This window comes from Homo sapiens, chromosome 19 (assembly GCF_000001405.40).
Source record: "Homo sapiens chromosome 19, GRCh38.p14 Primary Assembly".
Taxonomy (NCBI): domain Eukaryota; kingdom Metazoa; phylum Chordata; class Mammalia; order Primates; family Hominidae; genus Homo; species Homo sapiens.
In genome coordinates, this window is record NC_000019.10 from 57,005,204 (window position 1) to 57,030,099 (window position 24,896).

A 24,896-nucleotide genomic window follows, 5' to 3' on the forward strand; every position below is an offset into this window, starting at 1 on the left:
GTTTTTTGTCCTTGCAATAGTTTGCTGAGAATGATGGTTTCCAGCTTCATCCACGTCCCTACAAAGGACATAAATTCATCATTTTTTATAGCTGCATAGTATTCCATGGTGTATATGTGCCACATTTTCTTAATCCAGTCTATCATTGTTGGACATTTGGGTTGGTTCCAAGTCTTTGCTATTGTGAATAGTGCCACAATAAACATACATTTGCATGTGTCTTTATAGCAGCATGATTTATAATCCTTTGGGTATATACCCAGTAATGGGATGGCTGGGTCAAATGGTATTTCTAGTTCTGGATCCCTGAGGAATTGCCACACTGACTTCCACAATGGTTGAACTAGTTTACAGTCCCACCAACAGTGTAAAAGTGTTCCTATTTCTCCACATCCTCTCCAGCACCTGTTGTTTCCTGACTTTTTAATGATCGCCATTCTAACTGGTGTGAGATGGTGTCTCATTGTGGTTTTGATTTGCATTTCTCTGATGGCCAGTGATGATGAGCATTTTTTCATGTGTCTTTTGGCTGCATAAATGTCTTCTTTTGAGAAGTGTCTGTTCATATCCTTCACCCACTTTTTGATGGGGTGGTTTTTTTTTCTTGTAAATTTGTTTGAGTTCTTTGTAGATTCTGGATATTAGCCCTTTGTCAATAGGAAGAATCAATAACGTGAAAATGGCCATACTGCGCAAATATTACTTTCAAAAGGAGGTCAGGAAGACTTCCTGGAGGAGGCGAATGCACGGTAGCACTCACTCCCAAAGGGTCGGAAGTACCCAGTAATGGGAAGATCTGGGGAAGAAGTTGTGGGCAGGTGCAAAGTCAGGAAGAAGCCTGAGGTGCCCAGACAACACAGCGGCACATAATGAGTGGTGGGGAGAGAGATAGGAGGGGAGGCTGCTAGGTGCTCAGCAGAGGCTGCGTTACAGATGGACCCTGAAGATGGGGGTGAGGAGACTTGATGGCTTGATACTGTTTGATAGCACTGACAGCTATTGGAGGGTGATGACTCAGGAACTTCCCTCACCAATAAGCGTTTCTTAAAAAAAATTACTCTGACTCTACAAATATATATGTATATATAATTTAACCACATTTTACTAGCATCTATGTTTGGGGGTTACTGACATCTCTCTATCTATCTATTTATCTATATATTTGGAGGATCAGAGTAATTTTTAAAAGAAGTGTCTATATATAATGTATGTAGAAATAATATATAAATAAATACCTATATAAAGTAATTATATATTTTTATATTTTTATTTATATATTTCACTTAAAATATACATTTTTAAATATATATGTTTTGTTTTGTTTGAGAGAGTCTTGCTCTGTCACCTTGGCTGGAGTGCAGTGGCACCATCTCGGCTCACTGCAACCTCCGCCTCTCAGGTTCAAGAGATTTTCCTGCCTCAGCCTACCAAGTAGCTGGGATTACAGGCACCTGCCACCATGCCCAGCTATTTTTTTTTTTTTTTTTTTTTTGTATTTTAGTAGAGGCAGGGTTTCACCATGTTGGCCAGGCTGTTCTCGAACTCCTGACCTCAGGTGATCCACCCACCTCAGCTTCCCAAAGTGCTGGGATTACAGGTGTAAGCCGCTGCACCCAGCTGAACCCACCTTTGGAACTTAGTGAGTGTCTCGCCCTAAGTGCCTGTCAGCTGGGGCACTTCCTCTGTGCCCTACAAATGTTCCTCAAACTGAAATTCTTTAGAACAATGCAGGAAGAATCCCATGCAATGGCATAAAGCACTGTAAACTATTTCACTTTTATTACTCCGGAAATTTATATTGCTTTTTATTTTCCGTAACCTGAAGATATATGTGCTAGTTCCTTGGGGCTGGGACATTAAGATAAGTTGTGTGGTCCTTCCTTCCAACACAGCTACCACCCTGGGCTCCTCCTCTGGGCACACTGTGGGCGCCTGCTGCTCGCAAACTGTGATAAGGAAGGAGCTGTTTTTTCTAAGATCACTGGGATCCATTAAGGGCTCCGCAGGAGAAAGACAGAACTTCTCTTTAGGATGATGAAAGATGAGGGTGTCACAGGTGGTGACTCAAACAACAATTGAGAGGCAAAGGGGTCTGAACCCATCTGCAAATAAATATCATTTGAATGAATGAACGAGTGTATCCAGGGGTGAAGCGGGAACAGAAGTCATGGTGAACCACTGACAGGAGGACCGTGGTGGGAACCCTTCCTGCGCTATGAAGGCAGAGTTGAGGTGCTGTAGCCTAGACTGTAGGGAATCCCTTTTGCCACATCAGGTGACACCCACTGGTTCTAGATACTAAGATGTGGATATCACTGGGGGACCATCATTCAGCCCACCACAGATGGATGAGTAGAGAGGTTAATGGATGGAAGGATGGTAGGTGAAAGGATGGATAGTAGAGTAGATGGATGAATAGTAAGGTGGATGATTGGATGGAAGAGTGAATGGATAGATGGGTATACAGATTGATGGGTGGTGGGTGGATGATTCCTGTGATCCCTGCCTCGCTTCTCAGCTAAGCTACTCTGATGTCCATCACTCTGACCTGTCCCCCGACAGACACTCTCACTTGGTACAGACCTCAGAAGCAGGCTCTGGTGGTCACCATGGAAATGCGATTGGATGAGGAAGGTAAGTTGCTGAGGAGTGGGCAGAGAGACTCTCAGATGCTGGAAATTTCCAGACTCTGGAGTGAAATTAAGGTGTGTAAAAGGGACTATAGGGGAGGGGCAAGAGTGAGACCACGGAGGAGGATGTTGCAATCGTCCAGGAATCATGGTGGTGGAGGTCACTAAGGTTGTGCAGCAGACACTGAAAGAAAAAGAAAATGGCTCCTGACAAAGGAGGGGGAAATAGCAGGAACAGATAGGAAAGGCATTTCTGACTGGAGACCTTATACACACTACAAAACCACAAACATACCTTTAAATACTGGGCACAGTGTCTCACACCTCCAATCCCTGCACTTTAGGAGGCCAGGGAAGGAGGATCGCTTGAAGCAGGAGTTTGATACCAGCCTAGACTACAAAGTGAGATCCCATTTCTACAAAAATAAAAATTAGCTGGGCTCAGCCGAGTGGGGTGGCACATGCCTGTAGTCCCAGCTACTCAGGAGGCTGAGGCGGGAGGCTCGCTTGAGCCTAGGAGTTGGGGGCTGCAATGAGCTATGATTTTGCCACTGCACTCCAGCCTGGGCAACAGAGTGAGGCCCTGTCTCAAAAATACACACACACACGCACACACACACACACACACACTTAAAAAACAAAAGGTTGAAAATGAAACACATAGTGAAATAAAAGTTCTGATAGTATCTTCCCAATTGCTCCACCTCACTTTAGAGTCAGGTGAGGGAGGATGGTGGCGGAGGCTGCAACACAGTGGCTGAGACATCGCTCTCAGCGTGTCACCGTGAGGTCTCCCAGGGAGGGTGTGGAGAAAACAGTGCCCAGGACAGAGCCTGAGAAACCTCACCGGGAAGATGGAGCATAACAAGGAAAGCATTACTCAACCATTCTGTGTCACTGAAGTGTGTACACAATTAGCCCATCTGTTGCTCACCCTCCTCATTCACCAACCCCTATTCCAAGAAATTTAAATGCCCAAAATAGGACTTCCCACCAGTGGGAGGTGTTGGCAGCCAACACAGAGGAGCAGCTCCAGAATCCAGGGAGTTTGTTTGAAATAAAACTGACCTATAACAAAGAGAGACAAGTATCTCTTCAATCCCTACCATCCCTCCACCTACCCACCCATCCATCCACCCATCCATGTATCCACACTTCCATCTAATGCACACAACTATCCAACTGTCCATCCATTCAGCCACCCATGCAACAACCCACCTAATGCATTAATTCTGTCATTCTTCCAATTATCACCACCCACCCATCACTTCATACACCCATCCACCCACCACCCATCCATCCACATACCCCCATCCATCCATGCTTCCATCCAATCATGCACCCTACACCTGTCCCCCCACCCATCACTTCATACACCCATCCACCCACCACCCATCCATCCACATATCCCCATCCATCCACCCACCACCCATCCATCCACATACCCCCATCCATTCACCCTTCCATCCAATCATCCACCCTACACCTATCCATCCACCCACCACCCATCCATCCACATACCCCCATCCATTCACCCTTCCATCCAATCATCCACCCTACACCTATCCATCCACCCATCATTCCATACATCCATCTACCTACCCATCAATCTGTATACACATCTATCCATTCACCCTTCCATCCAATCATCCACCCTATACCTATCCACCCACCCATCATTCCATACAGCCATCCACCCACCACCCATCAATCTGTATACACATCTATCCATTCACTCTTCCATACAATCATCCACCTTACTATTAATCCATCTACTCTACTATCCATACTTCCACCCACCATCCTTCCATCCATTAACCTATCTACTCATCCATCTGTGGTGAGCTGAATGATGACCCCCCACGTCTTAGTTTCCAGAATCTGTGAGTGTCACCTGATGTGGCAAAAGGGATTCCCCGCAGTCTAGGTTACAGCAACTCAACTCTGCCTTTATAGCACAAAAGTGGTCCTAGACAAAACACAAATGATGGATGTGTCTATGTTCCAGCACAACTGTATTGTACAAAAGCAGGCAGGCCATAGTTTGGCAATCAGCCATCTTGTTCTGAATGATCAGGCCCCTACTTCACTTTCCGACAAATCTCTATCCACTTTTTCCCTTGCTCTCTCCACCGTAGCCACACTGGCTTCCTCGATGGTCCTCAGGCTGGGCAGTCATCAGCCTCATGGCTTTTCAAGACATACATTCTTCTGTCTGGACTGTTTTTCTTCTTGATATTCCCATAATTGTTCCCTCCCTCCATTGAGATTCAAATATCACCACCTCCAAGAAGGCATCCTTGACTCCCAATCTAAAACACCCCACCCCTGCTCTTTGAATCTGACTTATTGTTCCTGATAACACTCGCCACCACCTGAAATCTTACCTATGTTCCCATGTATCACCCCTGCTAGAATACTCATGTCCCAGCATGTGAATACATCTGTTGCGTTCTCTGCTGCACCCACCACGCTTGGCCAGGGTATACCACTAAGTATGCGCCCAGTAAATACCAGCTGAAAGACAGGATGGATGGATGCGTAAATGAGGGCATGAACAGCTGTCTGTCCTAAGAGTCCCCGGCTCCTTTTTTCACATTATTTCACTCTCCGTGTCTAAAGCAGTGTCTGGAGGGATGGGGGGGCTCGATGAATATGTCTGACTGAATAAGGACGTGAAATGCTGCTGCTTAGAAGATATTTGGGATTTCTGTCCACATCCACAGTGGCCCCTGAAGCCATTTTTCTACGTTTTGCGGAGACGCTGCTGCTGCTGACGCATTTCGATGTGTGCAAAATACGCACATGAACAGCCGATACGGACACTTTTGATGTCCGTCCCTCTGCCCTGTTCCCTGCTCACTCGGTGCTCCCAACCTTCTAGCGAATGGTGCAGGAGCTCAGGTTGTTGCCATGGAAACCCCAGCTGGAATGGGGGAGGCAAGTGCGTGGGGAAGGTGTCGAGAGATCCGCAGAGGATGGAATTTTCCAGACTCTGCAGTAAGATGTGAGCTCCACATTGAAGGCCTGGACCAATCGTCTGGCCTCACCCACATCTCTACTGACCTCAGGACTCTCTGTGTCCGTAGCCCCTTTGGGTCTCCTCATACTCTTTGGCAGTCTGGAGTTCCGGGTCTATTTCTCCTGTGAGTCCTTTAGAAAGGCTGTCTGCTCCTTGCATCTCTCTCTTGCTCTCTCGCTCTCTCTCTTCCCTCTCTCTTTCCTCTCTCCTCTTCTTCTTCTTCTTCTTCCTCCTCCTCCTCCTCCTCCTCCTCCTCCTCCTCCTCCTCCTCCTCCTCCTCCTCTTCTTCTTCTTCTTCTTCTTCTTCTTCTTCTTCTTCTTCTTCTTCTTCTTCTTCTTCTTCTTCTTCTTCTTCTTCTTCTTCTTCTTCTCGATCTCAGCTCACTGCAACCTTCACCTCCCAGGTTCAAGCAATTCTCCTGCCTCGGCCTCCCGAGTAGCTGGGATTACAGGCGCCCACCACCATGCCTAGCTAACTTCTTTGTATTTTTAGTAGAGATGGGGTTTCACCATATTGGCCAGGCTGCTCTCGAACTCCTGACCTCAGGTAATCCACCCAAAGTGCACCCTCGCCCTCCCAAAGTGCTGGGATTACAGGTGTGAGCCACTGCGCCTGGCCCTCCTTTCTTCTTTCTCTCTCTCTTTTCCTCCTCTCTCTCCTCTCTCTCTCTTTCTGTTCTCTTGCCTCTCTCTCTCTCTTTCCTCTCCCCTCTTCTTTCTCTCTCTCTTCCCTCCTCTCTCCTCTCTCTCTTTCTCTTCTCTTCTCTCTCTCTCTCTCTTATTCCCCTCTCTGCTCTCACTCTCTCTCTCACACACTCCCTCGGGCAAAATAACAACCCTGGATCACTCCAGTTCCCACTGCCCCAGATCCTCATTTTTGTTTCAGCTCTTATTGTCAGTCCAGGGGGTCCATGCTCAGGTTTGTTAAGTGGGTATATTACATAACTCTTAGGTTTGAGGTATAAATGGCCATCAGCACTGTACCCAATAGGTGGCTTTTCACCTCCTGCCCCCTCCGTCCCTCTCCCCTCTAGAAGTCCCCGGTGTTTATTGGTCCCATGTTTATGTCCGTGAGTACCCAATATTTAGCTCCCGCTCATAAGAGAGAACATGTTGTATTTGGTGTTCTCTTCCTGTGTTACTTCGCTGAGGACAGTGGGCAGCCTTGTGCTTTTAGCCATAATCAGCAACTTGATTGGAATGAATTTCCAGCTGGGTCCCTTGTCATAGGAGGGCTCGTGGTACCTTCTGGGAAACATTCCTGCATGCCTGTCTGTTCCCATGTCTGCCAAAGTTGAGTCCACTCCGTGATCTTAAAAATTATGTATTATGTTTAGTTTAATAAACAGTATTATAGCACTTACTCTGTACCATTCAGTCACTGAGGCTCATTTGAGGTATGTTCTAATATTATCTCAATTTTCGTATGAGGAAATGGAAGGACAGGAATGGCAGTAAGTTGTGCACCTTCACCCAGCTGGTCAGCAGCAGATCTGGGGTTCAATGTCAGGCAGCAATCCCCCATAGTCTGTGCTTTAAAAAGACCAGGGCTGTGCCCTTGCTTGACACATCTCTGAGGGTGGCCCATGCTCTGATGTCCGTTTTAGAGATGAGGCAGCTGAGGTACCAGCCTATGACCTTAGAAACGAGTTAGTCATTCTCTGACTCTATTTCACTCAACTATTTTAGTAATAACATTTTCAACAGAGTCTTCAAGGAGGGTTAGCTAGTTATTTGTAAATTGCATGCTACTGCAGCAATGTGACACACACACGCGTGCGCATAAGAAATACATCATTTTTAAAGACAAAATTTAAAAAATAGAAATAATTTTCTCACAATGTCCCACTTAGGACCCCATTGGGCCAGGCAAGAGGGAGTGGTGGCTTAAAACAGGGTGGTGACAATGGAGATTGGGGAACTAGGGATGATTTGAAACATGTGGGTGAGAGCTAACCTGTGCAAAATGTATCTTGGGATTCTTGACCTGTGGGTGATGGACTGGGTTTGCTGGCAATTCGATCAGCTCTGACTTGCACTGTCTGTACTGGATGCTGTCCCACGGGAGCAGTGGATGGGTGGATATCTGTTTCTGGAGCTCATGAGGGAGTCTGGGCTGGGGATGGAGATTTGGGGACCCATTGACACAGGGGGTCATTGGAGATCAGATCACAGTGTTGTGCATTGCACAACTCCAGGGGGCACCATCCAGGGGCACCATCCACGGGGCACAACTCCAGGTGGCACCATCCAGGGAATACCATCTGGGGGCACCATCCAGGGGATACCATCCAGGGGGCACCATCCAGGGGATACCATCCAGGAGGTACCATCCAGGGGACACCATCCGGGACACCATCCAGGGGGCACCATCCAGGGAATACCCTCCAGGGGATACCATCCAGGGGGCACCATCCAGGGGATACCATCCAAGGGATACCATCCAGGGGGCACCATCCAGAGGGCACCATCCAGGGGATACCATCCAGGGGGTACCTTCCAGGGGATACCATCCAGGGGGCACCATCCAGGGGGCACCATCCTTGCGGATGACGCTATGAGTAGGACCTCACCAAGATTGCCCTGGGAGTGCACGGGGAGAAAGAGGAGCATTCAGGACTTGATTAACTAATCAGAAAGACGAGAATTGATGATGAAAATATCACTCAACCTCCCCCAGGTCTTGGGAGCCCACCCCTTGCATGAGTGTGCCCTGGATGTGGAACACGGAGTCAAATAAGATTATTTTGGAGCTTTAAGATTTAGTGACTGCCCTACTGGGTTTTGGATTTGCATGGGGCCTGTGGCCCCTTTCTTTTGGCCAATGTCTCCCTTTTGGAATGGGAATATTTACCCAAGACTTGTACCCCCATTGTATCTTAGAAGTAACTAACTTGAAGGCTAATAGGTGGAAGGAACTTGCCTTTTCTCAGATGAGACTTGGGACTCTGGCCTTCTGAGTGAATGAGTTAAGACTTTGGGGACTTTTGGGAAGGCATGATTGTATCTTGCAGTGTAAGAAGGACATGAGATTTGGGGGGCCAGGGGAAGAATGAAATGGCTTGGATCTGTGTCCCCACCAAATCTCATGTCAAATTGTCATCCCCAGTATTGGAGGTGGGGCCTGGCGGGAGGTGACTGGATCATGAGGATGGATTTCTCACGGAGGGTTTAACACAATCCCCTTGGGCTGTTCTCACGGAAGTGAGTTCTCACAAGATCTGGTCGTTTAAAAGTGTGTAGCCCTCCCCACCCTCTCATTCCTGCTCTGGCCATGTGATGTGCCTGTTCCTGCTTCACCTTCCACCATGATTGTAAGCGTCCTGAGGCCTCCCCAGAAGCTGAGCAGATGCCAGCACCATGTTTTCTGCACGGCCTGCAGAACTGTGAGCCAATTAAACTTTTTTTCTTTATAAATTACCCAGTCTCCAGTATTTCCTCTTTTTTTTTTTTTTTTTTTTTTTTTACGGAATTTCACTCTTGTTGCCCAGCCTGGAGTGCAATAGTGTGATCTCAGCTCACCACAGCCTCCACCTCCCAGGTTCAAGCGATTCTCCTGCCTCAGCCTCCTGAGTAGCTGAGATTACAGGCATGTGCCACCACGCCCAGCTAATTTTGTATTTTTAGTAGAGATGGGGTTTCTCCATGTTGGTCAGGCTGGTCTTGAGCTCCTGACCTCAGGTGATCCACCCGCGTCGGCCTCCCAAAGTGCTGGGATTACAGGCATGAGCCACCGTGCCTGGCCTCAGGTATTTCTTTATAGCAATTTGAGAATGGACTAATACACAACCTCACAAGTGTTTTCATACAAAAAGGAGGCCATCTTTTGTAAAATGTCCATCCCAGAAAATAACCATCGATTATCCTTGTAGATTCACTGTTACTTCCAAATATCTGTGTGTGTATGTGTGTATGTGTATATGTGTGCGTATCCCAAAGTCATGATATTCACATGGGGGTGGTGTAGACAGAAAACAGGGACTACTAGAATTCAAAATTAACCCTAATCCTTGGAGAAGAAAAAAGGTGTCTATTCTATTTGTAGTATTCATCCAACCAACCATGTAAACATTTATTTACACATCCACACATCTATTCACCCCACGTTGATCCATCTGCCCACCCACCCATCCTTCCACATAGTCACCCATCCATGAATCCATTCAACCACCCATCAATTGATCCATCCACCCATCTATTCATCCAGCAAAGAAAGAAAATATATCTCCAAGAAAAAAATTGTGAGCTCCGTAATGATACATTTATTCATGTATTTATTCACTAAATGTAAGCTGAAAGTCACTTTCCAGCCCCTCTCTGAATTCGCCTCCACCCATTCTCTTCCTTGCTCACTCCTCTTCAGACACTGTGGCCTCCTGTGCTGTTCAAACGGACAAAAATCTTCATCTCCAGGTGTTTCCAGGCTCTGTTCCCTCTGCCCAGAATGGTTACTTCCCTGGTAATCCAAAGTTTCCCGCCCTCCCTTCACTCAGGTTGACTCAAATACCGCCACCTCCAGGAAGACCTCCTTGACCGGCTGCTCTGAAAGATCCCTCCTTCACTCCACATCTCACCTGCTTACGCTTTGTAGAACTTACCACGATCTGTTATTTTAAGTTAAACTTATTGACTGATAAACCCCCAAAGATAAAGGATTCATAAGAGGAGAGTTGTCTTGGCTTCAACCCTATCCATCACATTTAACTCAGTGCTGACCCATAGTGGGATGTCAGGAAATATCTGCAGAATATACATACATACACTTTTTTTTCTTTTTGTTTTTCTTTTTGAGACAGAGTATCACCCTGCCACCCAGGCTGGAGTGCCATGGCATGATTTAGGCTCACTGCAACCTCCACCTCCCGGGTACAAGTGATTCTCCTGCCTCAGCCTCTGAGTAGCTGTAATTACAGGCGCCCACAACCACGTGCTGCTAATTTTCGTATTTTTAGTAGAGATGGGGTTTCACCATGTTGGCCAGGCTGGTCTCGAACTCCAGACCTCAGGTGATCCACCCACCTCGGCCTCCCAAAGTGCTGGGATTACAGGCGTGAGCCACTGCGCCCCGCCCACATATACTTTTGAATGAAGAAAGGAATGAATGAATAATCTACCTGAGCACAGAGATTGGGCATTTATTTATTTATATTTATTCTATGGTTTTGTTTCCCAGATGCAGATGGAGCGTGTAAAACAGAAAGTGGCTCCATGCAGGCTGCTAGGTCTGCTCACCTATCTCATGATCTACACGCACACACAGCGCATACGGACTGAGTCAGTGCACGCTAGAACATAAACTGCTTCTGTTGCTGGTGCTCAGAATAGATTCATGATTTTACTCTGAGTCAGTGAAGGCTCTCGCAGCCGCTGGTAAATTTGTTTTTCTCCTTCTTCAAAGATGGGTAGCAATGACGCACTTCAGCGCGCACAAGATCCGCAGTCGCACGGCTGAGGTTGAGACGGCGCCAGGCAGGCCGCGTCCCCAGTGATGCGAATCCGAAGCCCCCCGACCGCTGCCCTTCCCACGCAGGACCCCGCGATCTGCGGGGACAGAGGCGGCGCAGGCTGCTGCCATGGAAACCGAAGCTGGGGGAGGGAGTTGGGGGATGCAGAAGGGCCTGACAGCCCCTTAGAGGCCCGAATGTCCACCCCTCTGCAGTCAGGTTGTACCCAGTCACCAATCCCAGCCTGGCACACAGTAGGCCTGCAACATAGAGTGGAAAGCCACAGTCTGCGCCCCCCATCACCCCGGGGGAGGGGGCTCCCTCCAGCATCCTGGAGCCTGGCCTTCCTTGAATCCGTTTTCCGAAGGCGTTTCTATCCCGGGCCCCACGTCGCGGGGTGGCGCAACGTGAGCCATGTATACAAAGCACCTCCTGGGCTGCTTTGTGGAAAACAGGCTGGGCAGGCAGCATTGCTGAGAACAGAGGCTGAGGCTTCTGCGGACACCCAGGAAAAAGCCAGAGTGACTTGGATGCCGTTGAGGATGAGGAGGATGGACAGAGTGATATGAAAATTGTGGATGGAAATAGTTATGCCGAGGCAGAAAAGAGAGACATCCTGGCCACGCAGCGCCAGCCTGTCCTGTTTTATTATTTGAATTTTATTTGAACCCAGAAGAGCAGAAGCTAATCACTACTCAGCCTTGAGTGCCGCGTGCTAGTCCTGCCACACAGATGATCTCCATGCATCCTCACAACTCCCCACGGCTGAGTGCGGCATGGTAGTCACCACCACAGAACGAATAAGGAAACTGAGTCTGAAAGAGGTGAAGGCAACTGCCCTAAATCAGAGGACTGGAAAACACGGAGCTGGATTTAACCCCAAATCTGACACCTTCAGAGCATAAACGTGGTGCACCCACATCATTCAAGCTTGAAGTTGAGTCGGGTAATCCATTCAAACAGAAAGACGCTTAAAATATTGTGGTAGCCCTTGGACCACTTCTCTTCTCTCCTTCCCTCTCCTCCCTTCTGTTCCCTTCTCCTCCCCTCCTTTGTCTCTTCTTTCCCCTTCTCTCCTCGTCCTCTCGTCTCCCTCCTCCTCTCCTCATCCTCTCTTCTCCGTCCCCTTCCCTCCCCTCTCAGCCCCTCTTCTCCCTCCCCTTCTTCCCCTCTCATCTCTTCTCCCTCCACCTCCCTCCCCTCTTTATCCCCTCATCTCCCTCCTCTTCCCTCCCCTCATCCCCCTTCTCCCTCTGCTTCCCTCCTCTCTCATCCCCTCATCTCCCTCCCCTTCCCTCCTCTCATCTCTTCCCCCTCCACCTCCCTCCCCTCCTCGTCCCCTCTTCTCCCTCTCCTTCCCTCCCCTCCTCATCCCCCATCTCCCTCCCCTTCTCTCCCCCTCATCCCCCATCTCCCTCCCCTTCCCTCCCCTCCTCATCCCCTGTTCTCCCTCTCCTTCCCTCCCCTCCTCATCCCCCATCTCCCTCCCCTTCCCTCCCCTCCTCATCCCCTGTTCTCCCTCCCCTTCTCTCCCCTCTCATCCCCCCATCTCCCCCCTTCCCTCCCTTTCATCCCCTCTTATCCCTCCACTTCCCTCCCTCTCACCTCCTCTTCTCCCTCCCCTTCCCTCCCTCTGATCCCCTCTTATCCCTCCACTTCCCTCCCTCTCATCCCCTCTTCTCCCTCCCCTTCCCTCCGTCTCATCTCCTCTTCTCCTTCCTCTTCCCTCCCTCTCATCCCCTCTTCTCCCTCCCCTTCCCTCCATCTCATCTCCTCTTCTACATCCACACTCCTTGGTGCTGTTATCCAATCTCACAGGTTTAAATGGAGTCCATACACTGATGACTCTAAAATCTGTACCTGCAGAGTCCTGACACTCACCTGAATCCACTGCCTCCCCTTCCCAGTCCTGACTCACCTGAATCTTCTCCCTCCCCTTCCCAGTCCTGACACTCACCTGAATCCACCACCTCCCCTTCCCAGTCCTGACACTCACCTGAATCTTCTCACTCACCTGAATCTTCTCCCTCCCCTTCCCAGTCCTGACACTCACCTGAATCTTCTCCCTCCCCTTCCCAGTCCTGACGCTCACCTGAATCTTCTCCCTCCCCTTCCCAGTCCTGACACTCACCTGAATCCACCACCTCCCCTTCCCAGCCCTGACACTCACCTGAATCTGCTGCCTCCCCTTCCCGAGCATCTCATAGCTTTCCCAAACTCAACTAATATTCCCTGAGTTTGTATATGCACCAAGCACTCTTCTAATTGTTTTACAGTTGTTAACATATTTAATTCCTTCAACAGCTGTAACGCCCATTTTACAGATGAGAAATCTACGGCCCAATTTACCAAAGGAACTCACTAGAGGAAACAGTGAGTGGGAGACTCCAGTTTACATGGAGCTCCTCCATGATGCCTGGTCTCAGCCTTCCGTGTGCCACCTCCCTCGTTCCAGGGTCCTTATGAGGCTCCGTTGTCCTCTGGGCCTTTGCACATATTGTTCCCCTGCCTTGAACACTGTTCCCTGAGCTTGATTCCAGGCTCTTCATCATCAACCTGCCCCACTGAGGGCAAGTTAGTAAACTCCCAGAAACTCTGTGTTTCATCAGTCATTGATGTTGGGCATCTTAGGACATACCTCATAAGGGTATTGTGAAAACTAATTACAACAATATGCTGGCCGGGCACAGTGGCTCACACCTGTAATCCCAGCATTTTGGGAGGCCAAGGTGAGTGGATCCTTTTCTTGTTAAATTGATAGCTAGATTGATTGATAGATTGATGACAGACGGATGGAAGATGGATGGGTCGATGGGTACATGGCAGAATAGTCAGGTGGATGTGTGGATGAATGGACTGGGTGAGTGGAAGGATGGGTTGATGGGTGGATAAATGGATGTGTTTGTGGATGAATAGATGGTCGGATGTATACATGGACATGTGGTTGGATGAATGTTTGGTTGAGTGGATGCCACACATAAACACTTTTCTTTTCCAAGGGTGAGTTTTGAGTTCTAGAAGTTCCCTTTGTTTTCTGTCTACGTTAACCACATGTGAATTTCATGACATTGGGACACACACATCCCCACTCAGAAATAAAGTAGCAGGGGATGAATGAGGAAAATGGAAAGATGGCCTCCTGTTTCCCTGCTAACACCTGTGGGGTTGAATGAGGTTTTCATCATCAATTTCCATCTTCCTGATTCATGAGTCAAGTCTCTCTTCCTACACCCTCCTGACTATCTCGGTGAGATTTGCATTCACGATGTCATACGCAAGGATGGTGCTTCTTTGAGTTCATCTGGACCAGAGACATCTGTACAGTAGCTGGTATGCTCATCTCTGCCTACACTTTTTTATTTCATGAGACAGGGTTTTGCTCCATCACCCTGGGAAGAGGCTGGAGTGCAGTGGCATGATCTCGGCTCACTGCAGCTTTGACCTCCTGGGGTCAAGCAATTCTCCCACCTCAGCCTCCCTAGTAGTTGTGACTACAGGCATGCACTACCATGCCTGACTAATTTATATATATATATAAAAAATACACATATTATATATATAATATACATATATAAAATATACATATTATATATAATATACATATATAAAATACACATATTATATATATAATATACATACACATATTATATATATATAATATACATATACATATTATATATATATTTGTTTGTTTGTTTGTTTTGAGAGGGCGTCTCACTCTGTCACCCAGGCTAGAGTGCAGAGGCGTGATCTCGGCTCACTGCAGCTTCAACCTCCTGGGCTCAAACGATCCTCCCACCTCAGCCTCCCGAGTAGCTGGGACTACAGGCATGCACTACCATGCCTGACTAATTTATATACATATACATATATTATATATATATATATATATATATAGAGAGAGAGAGAGAGAGAGAGAGAGAGAGACAGAGACAGAGACAGAGACAGAGTCTCACTCTGTCACCCACTGGGCTAGCCCTCTTTCTAAGCTTCGGTGTGCACGTGAATCCCGTGAATATTTATTAAGTGCACATTCGGATTGAGTAGGTCTGGGATGGAGCCTGCAATTCTGAATTTCAGGCAGGTTCTTAGGGGCTGCCAAGGCTGCTGGTCTTCAGCTCACAACGTGTGCAGTGAGTTCATGCTCTGGTTGACCTTTACCAATGTTTAGTTATACCCAGAAAACATTTGTGAGCTAAATATAAATATATACAATACTTATAGAAAATATTAAATATATTTAGTAATACATTTATTACATATTCAATTTAGTATATAATATTATTATTATATCAATATTATACATTATAACATATATATAATTATATGAATTTAGTTTATATTGCATAATATAAATAATATGTAACATTATATATAGCATAATATATATTATGTATCATCATATGTGTTATATAAGATATATCATTTGACATATGTATTATATATAATATATTATATAAAATTATATATAATAATCATATGTGATTCTATAATAATTTAATACATTTAATATACAATATACAATAATTTAATATATAATACATATTTAATCCTATATTTATATATTTAGTAACTATATTATATATATTTAATAATATAAAATAGTATTTATATAATTCATATGTATAGTACATGTTAATAAATATGCATGTTTATAAATGAATAATAAATATACTTGTTTATAAATCATACAAACCACTGTAATGTATAATATAAAACAAGCACAAAATGTAAGAATTTTAAAAGACATGACAACATAACACATAGAAACTGAACTTGTAATGGTATCATTCCCACCTCAGACATCACCATTGTAAACGGGAGATGTAGCTTAGAACTGAGGGAAGAAACGGAAGTAAAGAGAACAGGAAAATATAGAAAGTTATCTAATCTGTTGAGGGTCTCCTGAAGATACATTTCTGAGACCAACTTGATTTGCTGATCAACTAGACGGGTGACAAGGATGAGGTTGATTTTTAACACCACTGTACCTGAAGCTCCAGGAGATTGGGAGCCGCCACCCACGTGTGTAAATGCGCCATGGGCCACACGTCCAGTCCATGTCCCTTCCATTCTTCCTTCTAAACAGCTTGCTGATAACCCTGCTTTTCCCACATTTCCTTCCTAAATTACTGCAGCAACCCCGTCCATTTCTTCAGCCCCTCAAAGTGAAATCTAAAAAGTCCTCTTCATTCCGTAGCTCTTCTTGGGGTTCCTGCAGCTCAGGATAAAACTCGACTCCCCTACAAGGACCAAAGCAGTGGACACTCTTTAGTTTGACCCTGGGAGGAGCTTGGTCAGGGAAGGCCGACAGCCAATGGGACTTGTCTTGAAGCTGCTCTTTGCTTCAAATTCTTAATAAGCAGTCTTTGCACCACTTATGAGTGTGTGTTTGTGTGTGTGTGTGTGTGTGTGTGTGTGTGTGTGTGTTCTGGTCGCTCCATAACAAACACCCCAAGCTTAACAACATGCAACAACAATTATTTTGTTATGTTTGCAGATTCATAAAGTGCAAGGTGCAGATGGCTTCTTTCTAGTCCAGTATGTCTGGGGCTAGAATTAGGAAGGAAGGAAGTCAGTTAGGAATATTCGATGGCTGGGAAAAGCCCAACATTTAGAGGGGTGTAAAGTGAGGTTAGAAAGTACTAACAGTGAAAGCTGTATCATTGCCTGTCTTATAAACTATGGCGGTAGTTCTCAAGCTGGGATGCTCTTATCCCCCAGTGGACACTGGCAACGTCTGGACACAGTTTTGATTGTCACTACTGGGGAAAGGAATGAGTTCTGGGCATCTAATGGGTGGAGGCCAGGGATGGCCTTCAGTGCAGAGGACAGTCCCCACCACACACACAACAAAGAATCATCCACCCAGCTCCAAACGTCATGCTGTAGTTTGGAATTGCCTTCAACAAGCATATCTGAAAACAGGTTTGTATCGTGGCAAGGAAACGTGAAATGTGCTCACATAAGAGCCAGCTGTGCGCTGCACCCCTTTACAAGCATGTAGGACAGGAATTCATTATGTCAGACAATGAGAAGAAAAGACAGCCAGCCCCAGGAAATTAAAGAAAAGCTGGCTATCAACAGCATCTAGGGGCACAATCTGCAAAGCAGACAGCTGCAATTTGAATGTTTGGATGGTTCAGAAATGGACAGTTCTGCACTGCTGGCCATGATGAGCTGTTTCCAAGAGCTACTCCCTTCCTGAGTTTCCTGGAGATGCATATATTTCCTGGACCTCAGCTGAACCCTGGGTTTGTCTCTTGGAGGGAACAATCCGTGGTGGGTCAGTGAGCTGAGCTTGAGTCGCAACTGGACTGTCTTGACTTTCTAACTGCATCTTGTTGGATACCATGGACTTCATGTTGTAACAATAAGTATCTAGTCAGGCATGTGCAAGGTGGGAGGGGGCTCTCCCGACCCCACCAAGAATGTCAGGTGACCATCAGGTGATGGCCAGGGAGTTGTCACACTGCCTTTCTAAAATAATAACTGGTCACAGCCAGTGCTCGGTAAAAGCAGTTTCCCAATTGATAAAAAACACCTGAAACTGGTGATTGGCAGCTTCCCACTAAGATATCAAGAGTCGGGCGAGTGGGCTGGAGCATGCCCATGAAGAGACAAAATGGTGGAGCTTAACTGGTATTTGACCTTCTAGGGGCATTCCACCGGGAAGGGGAAGAGCGCCTCAGGTGAGCGTGCACATAACTCCAGTAAACACGCTGCATGTGTGGCCCCTCCCAAGTGCTAGCAGGCCACCGAGCATGCAGGCAGCTCATGATAAGAGGAGAATCAAGGGAAATGGGATGCAAGATGCTGGAAGTATGCCAGCATATAAAACCCTAAGTCCACGGTCAACCAGGGCACTGGTCCTTCAAGTTGCCCACTTGGGCCTCTTCCAAAGGTACTTTCCTTCCTTTCATTTTTTCTGGGGGGGACCCACAAGTCATTTTATTTAGGAGACCATCTATTCTGCTTTTCTTTTGGCTACTTTTTTTCTTTATTTCTAAACAAAAACAAAAAACAGGACACATGTGCACAGCGTGCAGGTTTGTCACATAGGTATACATGTGCCATGGTGGTTTGCTGCACCTGTTGACCTGTCCTCTAAATTCCCTCCCCTCATCTCTCACCCCACAACAGGTCCTGGTGTGTGTTGTTCCCCTCTCTGTGTCCACATGTTCTTAATGTTCAACTCCCACTTACGAGTGAGAACATGCGGTGTTTGGCTTTCTGTTCCTGTGTTAGTTTGCTGAGGTTGATGGCTTCCAGCTTCCTTTCCTTTTATTCTTGCCTTTCATTCTAAAGCTTTTTAATAAACTTCCACTCCTGCTCTAAAACTTGCCTCACTCTCTTCTTCTGCCTTATGCCCCACAGTCAAATTCTTTCTTCTGAGGAGGCAAGAATTGAGGTTGCTGGGCACCCATAAGGATTCGCCTCTGGTAACGTATTTTGGTGCTGGGTCACTTGGATAATTTGCATTGCTAACAATATCAGAATGTTCCCTCCAACTGAATCTTCTTTTTCATGCAAGACTGGACACATCCATTCTGTGAGGTGTGTTTTTAGAGAAAAAATTAATCCATGATACTTGTTAAAGTGGTAAGGAACACTTTCTTCAGGACCATGGAGATAGGTATAGGGGCCACAGCAATGGGATTTCACACTGGGGCAGAGAAACTGGGCTTAACTCTGAATACAGCATGAGCAAGTGCGAATGTATAGCCCAAGAGCAGGGTAGGTGTCAGTGGATGAAAAATTATTGAGAGAAAATCAAGGTGGTAGCCTGGCTGTGTTCACTGTTCCATGCTCAGTGTTCAAGAGATGTACTTTTCTGAATGGTGAAAAATGGTATCTGAGTCCATTAAGATTGTCAGGGAATTCAGGCTAAGTAGCCTCTCAGAATCCTTGCTGAAGACAAGCCAGGTTGGTCAGATGTTATGTAGGGGTTCACAGAGGGTGAGGAACCCAATCAGGCATCGAGGAAAGCACAAACCTGAGGAAATAGACACTTCTGGGAACTTTACAATGGCAGGAGTACCTGCAAATTGGATTTTCTGCAGAGACACATTTGCCAGGTTACAACAAAGTCACCTGAACAGATATACACTGCTTTTTAAATATATAATTCAATTTTGTGAAGGTAGGGCCTCACTCCATCACTCAGGCTGGGGTGCAGTGGCACACTCACGGCTCACTGCAGCCTCAACCTCCCAGGCTCAAGCAGTCCTCCTGCCTCAGCCTCCCAAGTAGCTGGGACCACAGGCACATGCCACCACACTCAGCTAATTTTTGTTTTTGTTTTTGTCGTTTTTGTAGAGATAGCGTTTCACCATGTTGTCCAGGCTGGTCTCAAACCCCTGGCTCAAGTGATCCTCCCACCTTAGCCTCCCAAATTGCTGGGATTATAGGCATGAGTCATAGGGCTTGACCTTATAATTATATATTTTTAGAGCTGTTTTAGGTTCACATCAAAATTAAGCAGAAGGTACAGAGTCCCCATAGCTCTGTACCACACATGCACAGCCTCCTCTATGGTCAGCATCCCCTCTGGAGATGTAAATACAGACTGGATGCCCCAGGTGCATTGGTTACAGTCGACCCACCTGCACTGACCCATCGCCCAGACTCCATAGTTCACATGAGGGCTCTTGGTTTTGTACATTCTGTGGGTTCAGACAGATGCATACTGACAAGCATCTACCATTGTCGTATCATACAGGACTGTTTCACTGCCCTGAAATTCCTCTGTGCTTTGCCTATTCATCCATCTCTCCCCCGCTTACCTCTGGCAACCACAGATCTTTTTACTGTCTCCATAGTTTTGCCTTTTCCAGAATGTCATGTAGTGGGAATCATACTAAACTAAACACACTCTCATGATCCAGCAGTCATGCTCTTTGGTATTTATCCAAGGGAGCTGAACACTTATTTCCAAACAAAAACCTTCACACTGAGGACTATAGCAATTTTATTCATAATTGCAAAGACTTGGAAGCAGCCAAGATGTCCTTCAGTCGGTGAATGGATAAACAAACTGGTCCCTCCAAATGACAGAATATTATTCAGGACTAAAAAGAAATGAGCCATCAAGCCTTGAAAAGACATGGAAGAGATTTAAATCCATATTGCTGAGTGAAAAAAGCTAATCAGAAAAGTCTTTATTTTTTTAATGGCAGCTTGATGTCCCATTGGACAGGTACACCACTACTTATTTTAAAATCCCATTTGGGGATGACTTTTAAAATAAGACTTTGAGACAATTAATGGATAACTAATCTCTAGCTATGAAAGGTCTACTGCACTGAAGAACTTTATTGGTGAATGTAAGAGTTCAAGAAACAGGAAAGAAACACACAAAGATGCTCAACAGTCAAAGACATGTTTATTTTGGAGAATAAACCTGAGAGGGGCTTCTGACCCATTTCAGTCAGGTGCATTCTCTCTCTTACAGATTAAAAGTATTTATGGGTTCAGAGCGAGAGAACCTGTCATAGGCTTGGAACATTTGTGTGTGGCGGAGAAGTTTATTGCGGGGTTGGAATGCCTCTGGTTGGAGGTGAGGTTATCTCGTGGCTGACATCTCTCCAGTCAGAGGGGAGGTTATCTTGGGGCTGGCATGTCTCTGGTCGGGGAGAGGTTTATCTTATAGTTGGAATGTTTCTGGTCGGAGATGTCATTTGTGGTTTATGGTCATGCTGACCTTCACCATTAGGCTGATGCCCTTTGGATTTAGGAGATTTTTGATCAAGGTGAACTTTTAAATGGTGGTGCTTGTCCAAGATGGCGATACTCCTGCTCTGTCAGTGAATATTTTAAACGTGTGCATAATCTCTCAGATAGATCAAGCTGGGGCACCAAGAAAGATCACCATAGGCCTCTATAGGATGGATTTTTTAATGTTCCTTTCATTTAGAAACATGTGCTCGGCTTCCCCTAAACCCTCTCTCAGGATATTTTACTTTTGTTGATGACTCACCCCACTCACCACATCTACTTAGGGCCATGATATTGGAGAGTCAGATTCTATACCGTACATTTTTTTAAATGGCTGTTTATCCGTGGAACACACTGGAAACACCTGCCCATGCCTTGACGTGGACTTCTAGCCTCTACACCAAGATAATAAATTTCTGTTGTTTCAGCCACTCAGTGTGTGGTAATTTATTTTAAGGCAGCCCTAGCTTAAATAAAGTACTCATAACTCATTCATAACACCCCATTTTTTTCACATTTCTGCCAAGACTCTAATTAAGAATAAATAAAGCTGTGCAAAATAAGAGCGTAACAAAACAATGGTTTCATCCTCATTCCTAGACTCCCCTCCCCCAGCCTAGCTTCTCAGTCTGCCTCTGGGGCTCCCACCTGTTGTGAGACGCAGGGGAGATGTGATGAGGGGATCCCCTGGTGCTGCCATGGAAACCACACCAGGAGTAAGGGAGAGGCGTGGCTGGGAACAAGGGAGGGAAGGCCTCAGAGAGAGCTCTGGAAAGTGTCTGGGTAAGGTTGCCCCAAATTCCATCCTAGCACACAGTATATGCTCAATAAATATTTATGGAGCAAATTAATGAAATTAATGAAATTCTGCAACTTTTTTTTTTTTTGAGGTGGAGTCTTGCTCTGTCCCCAGGCTGGGGCACAGTGGCATGATCTGGGCTCACTGCAACTTCCTCCTCCCGGGTTCAAGTGATTCTCCTGCCTCAAACACCTGAGGAGCTGGGACTACAGGTGCCCGCCACCACACCCGGCTAATTTCTGTATTTTTAGTAGAGACGAGGTTTCAACATGTTGGCCAGGCTGGTCTCGAACTCCTGACCTCAAGTGATCTGCCTGCCTCGGCCTCCCAAAGTGTTGGGATTACAGGCGTGAGCCACTGCGTCCAGCCTGAAATTTTGCAACATTTGTCTAAAGACTTCGAACATGGATGATTGTGGTTCCTAGGTCATGGGTTTACATAAGATTCTACTTATAAAAGTACATTAAGGTGGTTAAAAATTTGTTTTAAAACCTTTATTAAAATTTCTTGTCAAATAATTGTTTTGTTTAATAAGTGTTCAAAGTTGTGAAAAAGCGTGCTAACATTGTTAACAGCACAGACTCTGGCCCCTGCAAACAGAGCCTTTCTCAAGCAGCTTCCCCCAGCTCCCCTCTCTGGCTCTCTTTCCCTTTGTCTCCTCATCTTGTTTCTGTCACCGTCATCCGTGTTTGAACTTACTTGGCTTATTTATTCATTTTGTTTGTTCACTGGTTTTTTTGTTGTTCTCTGGGTGAACTGGTAAACTCCTGAGCACTGAGACCTTGTCTGTGTGTTCACCTCGTGTTTCCGGGACCTGAACAGTATTGGGTCATTACCGATGCTCAACGTACATGTTTTGAATAAATATAGGATGTGTCAAAGGTTATTTCAAAGATGTATATTTCCTTTCACTCAACAGTATCACTTCTAGAATATACCCTGCAGGTATGCCCAAATAAATGCCAAATATGATATGCATGGCGTTATTTTCTGTAGCTTTTCTAGACCAGAAGAAAAGAATGGAAATGACTTCATTGTGCATAGAAGGGTAGCTGGCTAAATAAACCTTAGTATCCTCACACTTTGGAAGATTCTACACAATAAAAGAGAATGAAGTTCTTACCGTATAGATAGAGAACAATGCCCAGGATGAATTGTCACATGGAGAAAGACAAGTGCCAAATGGTATACACCATCACTTTGCAGAATGTGCATGAGAGTGTAATTATGCTCAGTAGTTTATGAATAACCCATTATGCATAATAACATGGGCATAATAGATTGTGCATGATAATATTTGCATAATATATTAGAACATTTTTGCATGCATACGTATGTATGTAAAACTTCACTCTGGGGCAAAACACAAGTAATTGGCATTAGAAAAATTGCCACTGGAGGCCGGGCGCGGTGGCTCACGCCTGTAATCCCAGCACTTTGGGAAGCCAAGGCGGGTGGATCACAAGGTCAGGAGTTCGAGACCAGCCTGACCAACATAGTGAAACCCCATCTCTACTAAAATACAAAAATTAGCTGGGCGTGGTGGTGCACACCTGTAGTCCCAGATACTCAGGAGGCTGAGGCAGGGGAATTGCTTGAACCTGAGAGGTAGAGGTTGCAGTGAGCCTAGATCACGCCACTGCACTCCAGCCTGGGAGACAGAGCGAGATACCATCTCAAAAAAGAAAAGAAAAGAAAAGAAAAATTGCGACTGGAAGGGAGAAGTGAAAGAACAAAGCTCAGAGGTGGAAGAGAGAATTCTTTTTGTTCTGCTTAGCAATTTGTACTTTCTTTGAAATGAATACATAGATTTGCAAGAGTAACTAAAAACAACTATTTATATGATATTAAGAGTTCTATTAGTGTGCCATTTTATAAATGTCACCATAATCATTATCGAATGGGCTAGAGGTTAACATTTATAAGATATGTGCATTAAGGTGTTCCAAAATATTATAACAGGGACTGGAAAGAAAAAAACATTAATAAATATAAGATTATTTACAAGTTTAATTCATGGAAAAAATAAGCAAACGTTGGAAAGCAACCAGTAAACAATTGGAAATGAAATTTTAAAAATACCAATCACATTTATATCTAAAAATATGCACTATCTATTGCAAATCTAACAAAATATACAGAAGATGTGTACTTTAATAAAGCACACATCATTGCTAAGAGAAGTTAAATAAGACTTAAGTAAATAGAGACACATGTGATGTTCATGGATTAGGAGACCTGACAATGTTAGGATGGCCATGACCCCAGGGTATTGTAATCCCAGTCAAATTCCCAGTGCCATATTTTGTAGAAATTGACCCATTGATTCTAGAGTCTATGTGGAATGACAAAAGATCTACAACTGGCCCCCCAAAAATTAGGAAAACCAAAAGAAAGAACAAAATTGGAGGACTTTATCTGATGTCAAGATTGTATAAAGCTACAATAATCAAGGCAGTGAGGTATCAGCACATAGAGAAACATACATCAATAGAACAGAGTCCAGACACACATCCACGGTCAATTGATTCTTGACAAAGACCATGGAACTTGACAGGAAATGGAAAGTCTTTTCAACTAAGCATTCTGGAACACATATATAACTTAATTTAAGATGGGATTATAGACCTAAACATTGAAACCTTCCAGAAGGAACTATAGAAAAATATCTTCATGATGTTGGAATAGGCAAATATTAGGAGACAAAAAAAGCTCACCATTAAACAGTCAGTAAATTGAATTACATTAAAAAAAATTTCTGTTCATCAAAATATTCTGTTAAGACATGAATATGCAAGCCACATGGTGGGGGATTATATTTACAATACATATGTCTGCAAAAGGACTTATAATCAGAATATGAAAAAAATGCCTACGTCAATAATAAAGGGACAATTCAATTAAAAATGAGCAAGAAACTCGAATTGGAACTTTACAAAAGAAAATATAGGCCAGGCGTGGTAGCTCACACCTATAATCCCAGCACTTTGGGAGGCCAAGGCAGGCAGATCAGCTGAGGTCAGGAGTTCGAGACCACCCTGGCCAACATAGAAAAACCCCATCTCTACTAAAAACACAAAAATTAGCTGGGCATGGTGGCAGGTGCCTGTACTCCCAGCTACTCGGGAGGCTGACGCAGGAGAATTGCTTGAACTCGAGAGGCAGAAGTTGTAGATTGTAGTGAGCCGAGATCATGCCATTGCACCCCAGCCTGGGCGACAGAGCAAGACTCCGTCTCAAAAAAAAAAAAGAAAGAAAGAAAGAAAATATGCAAATGGACAATA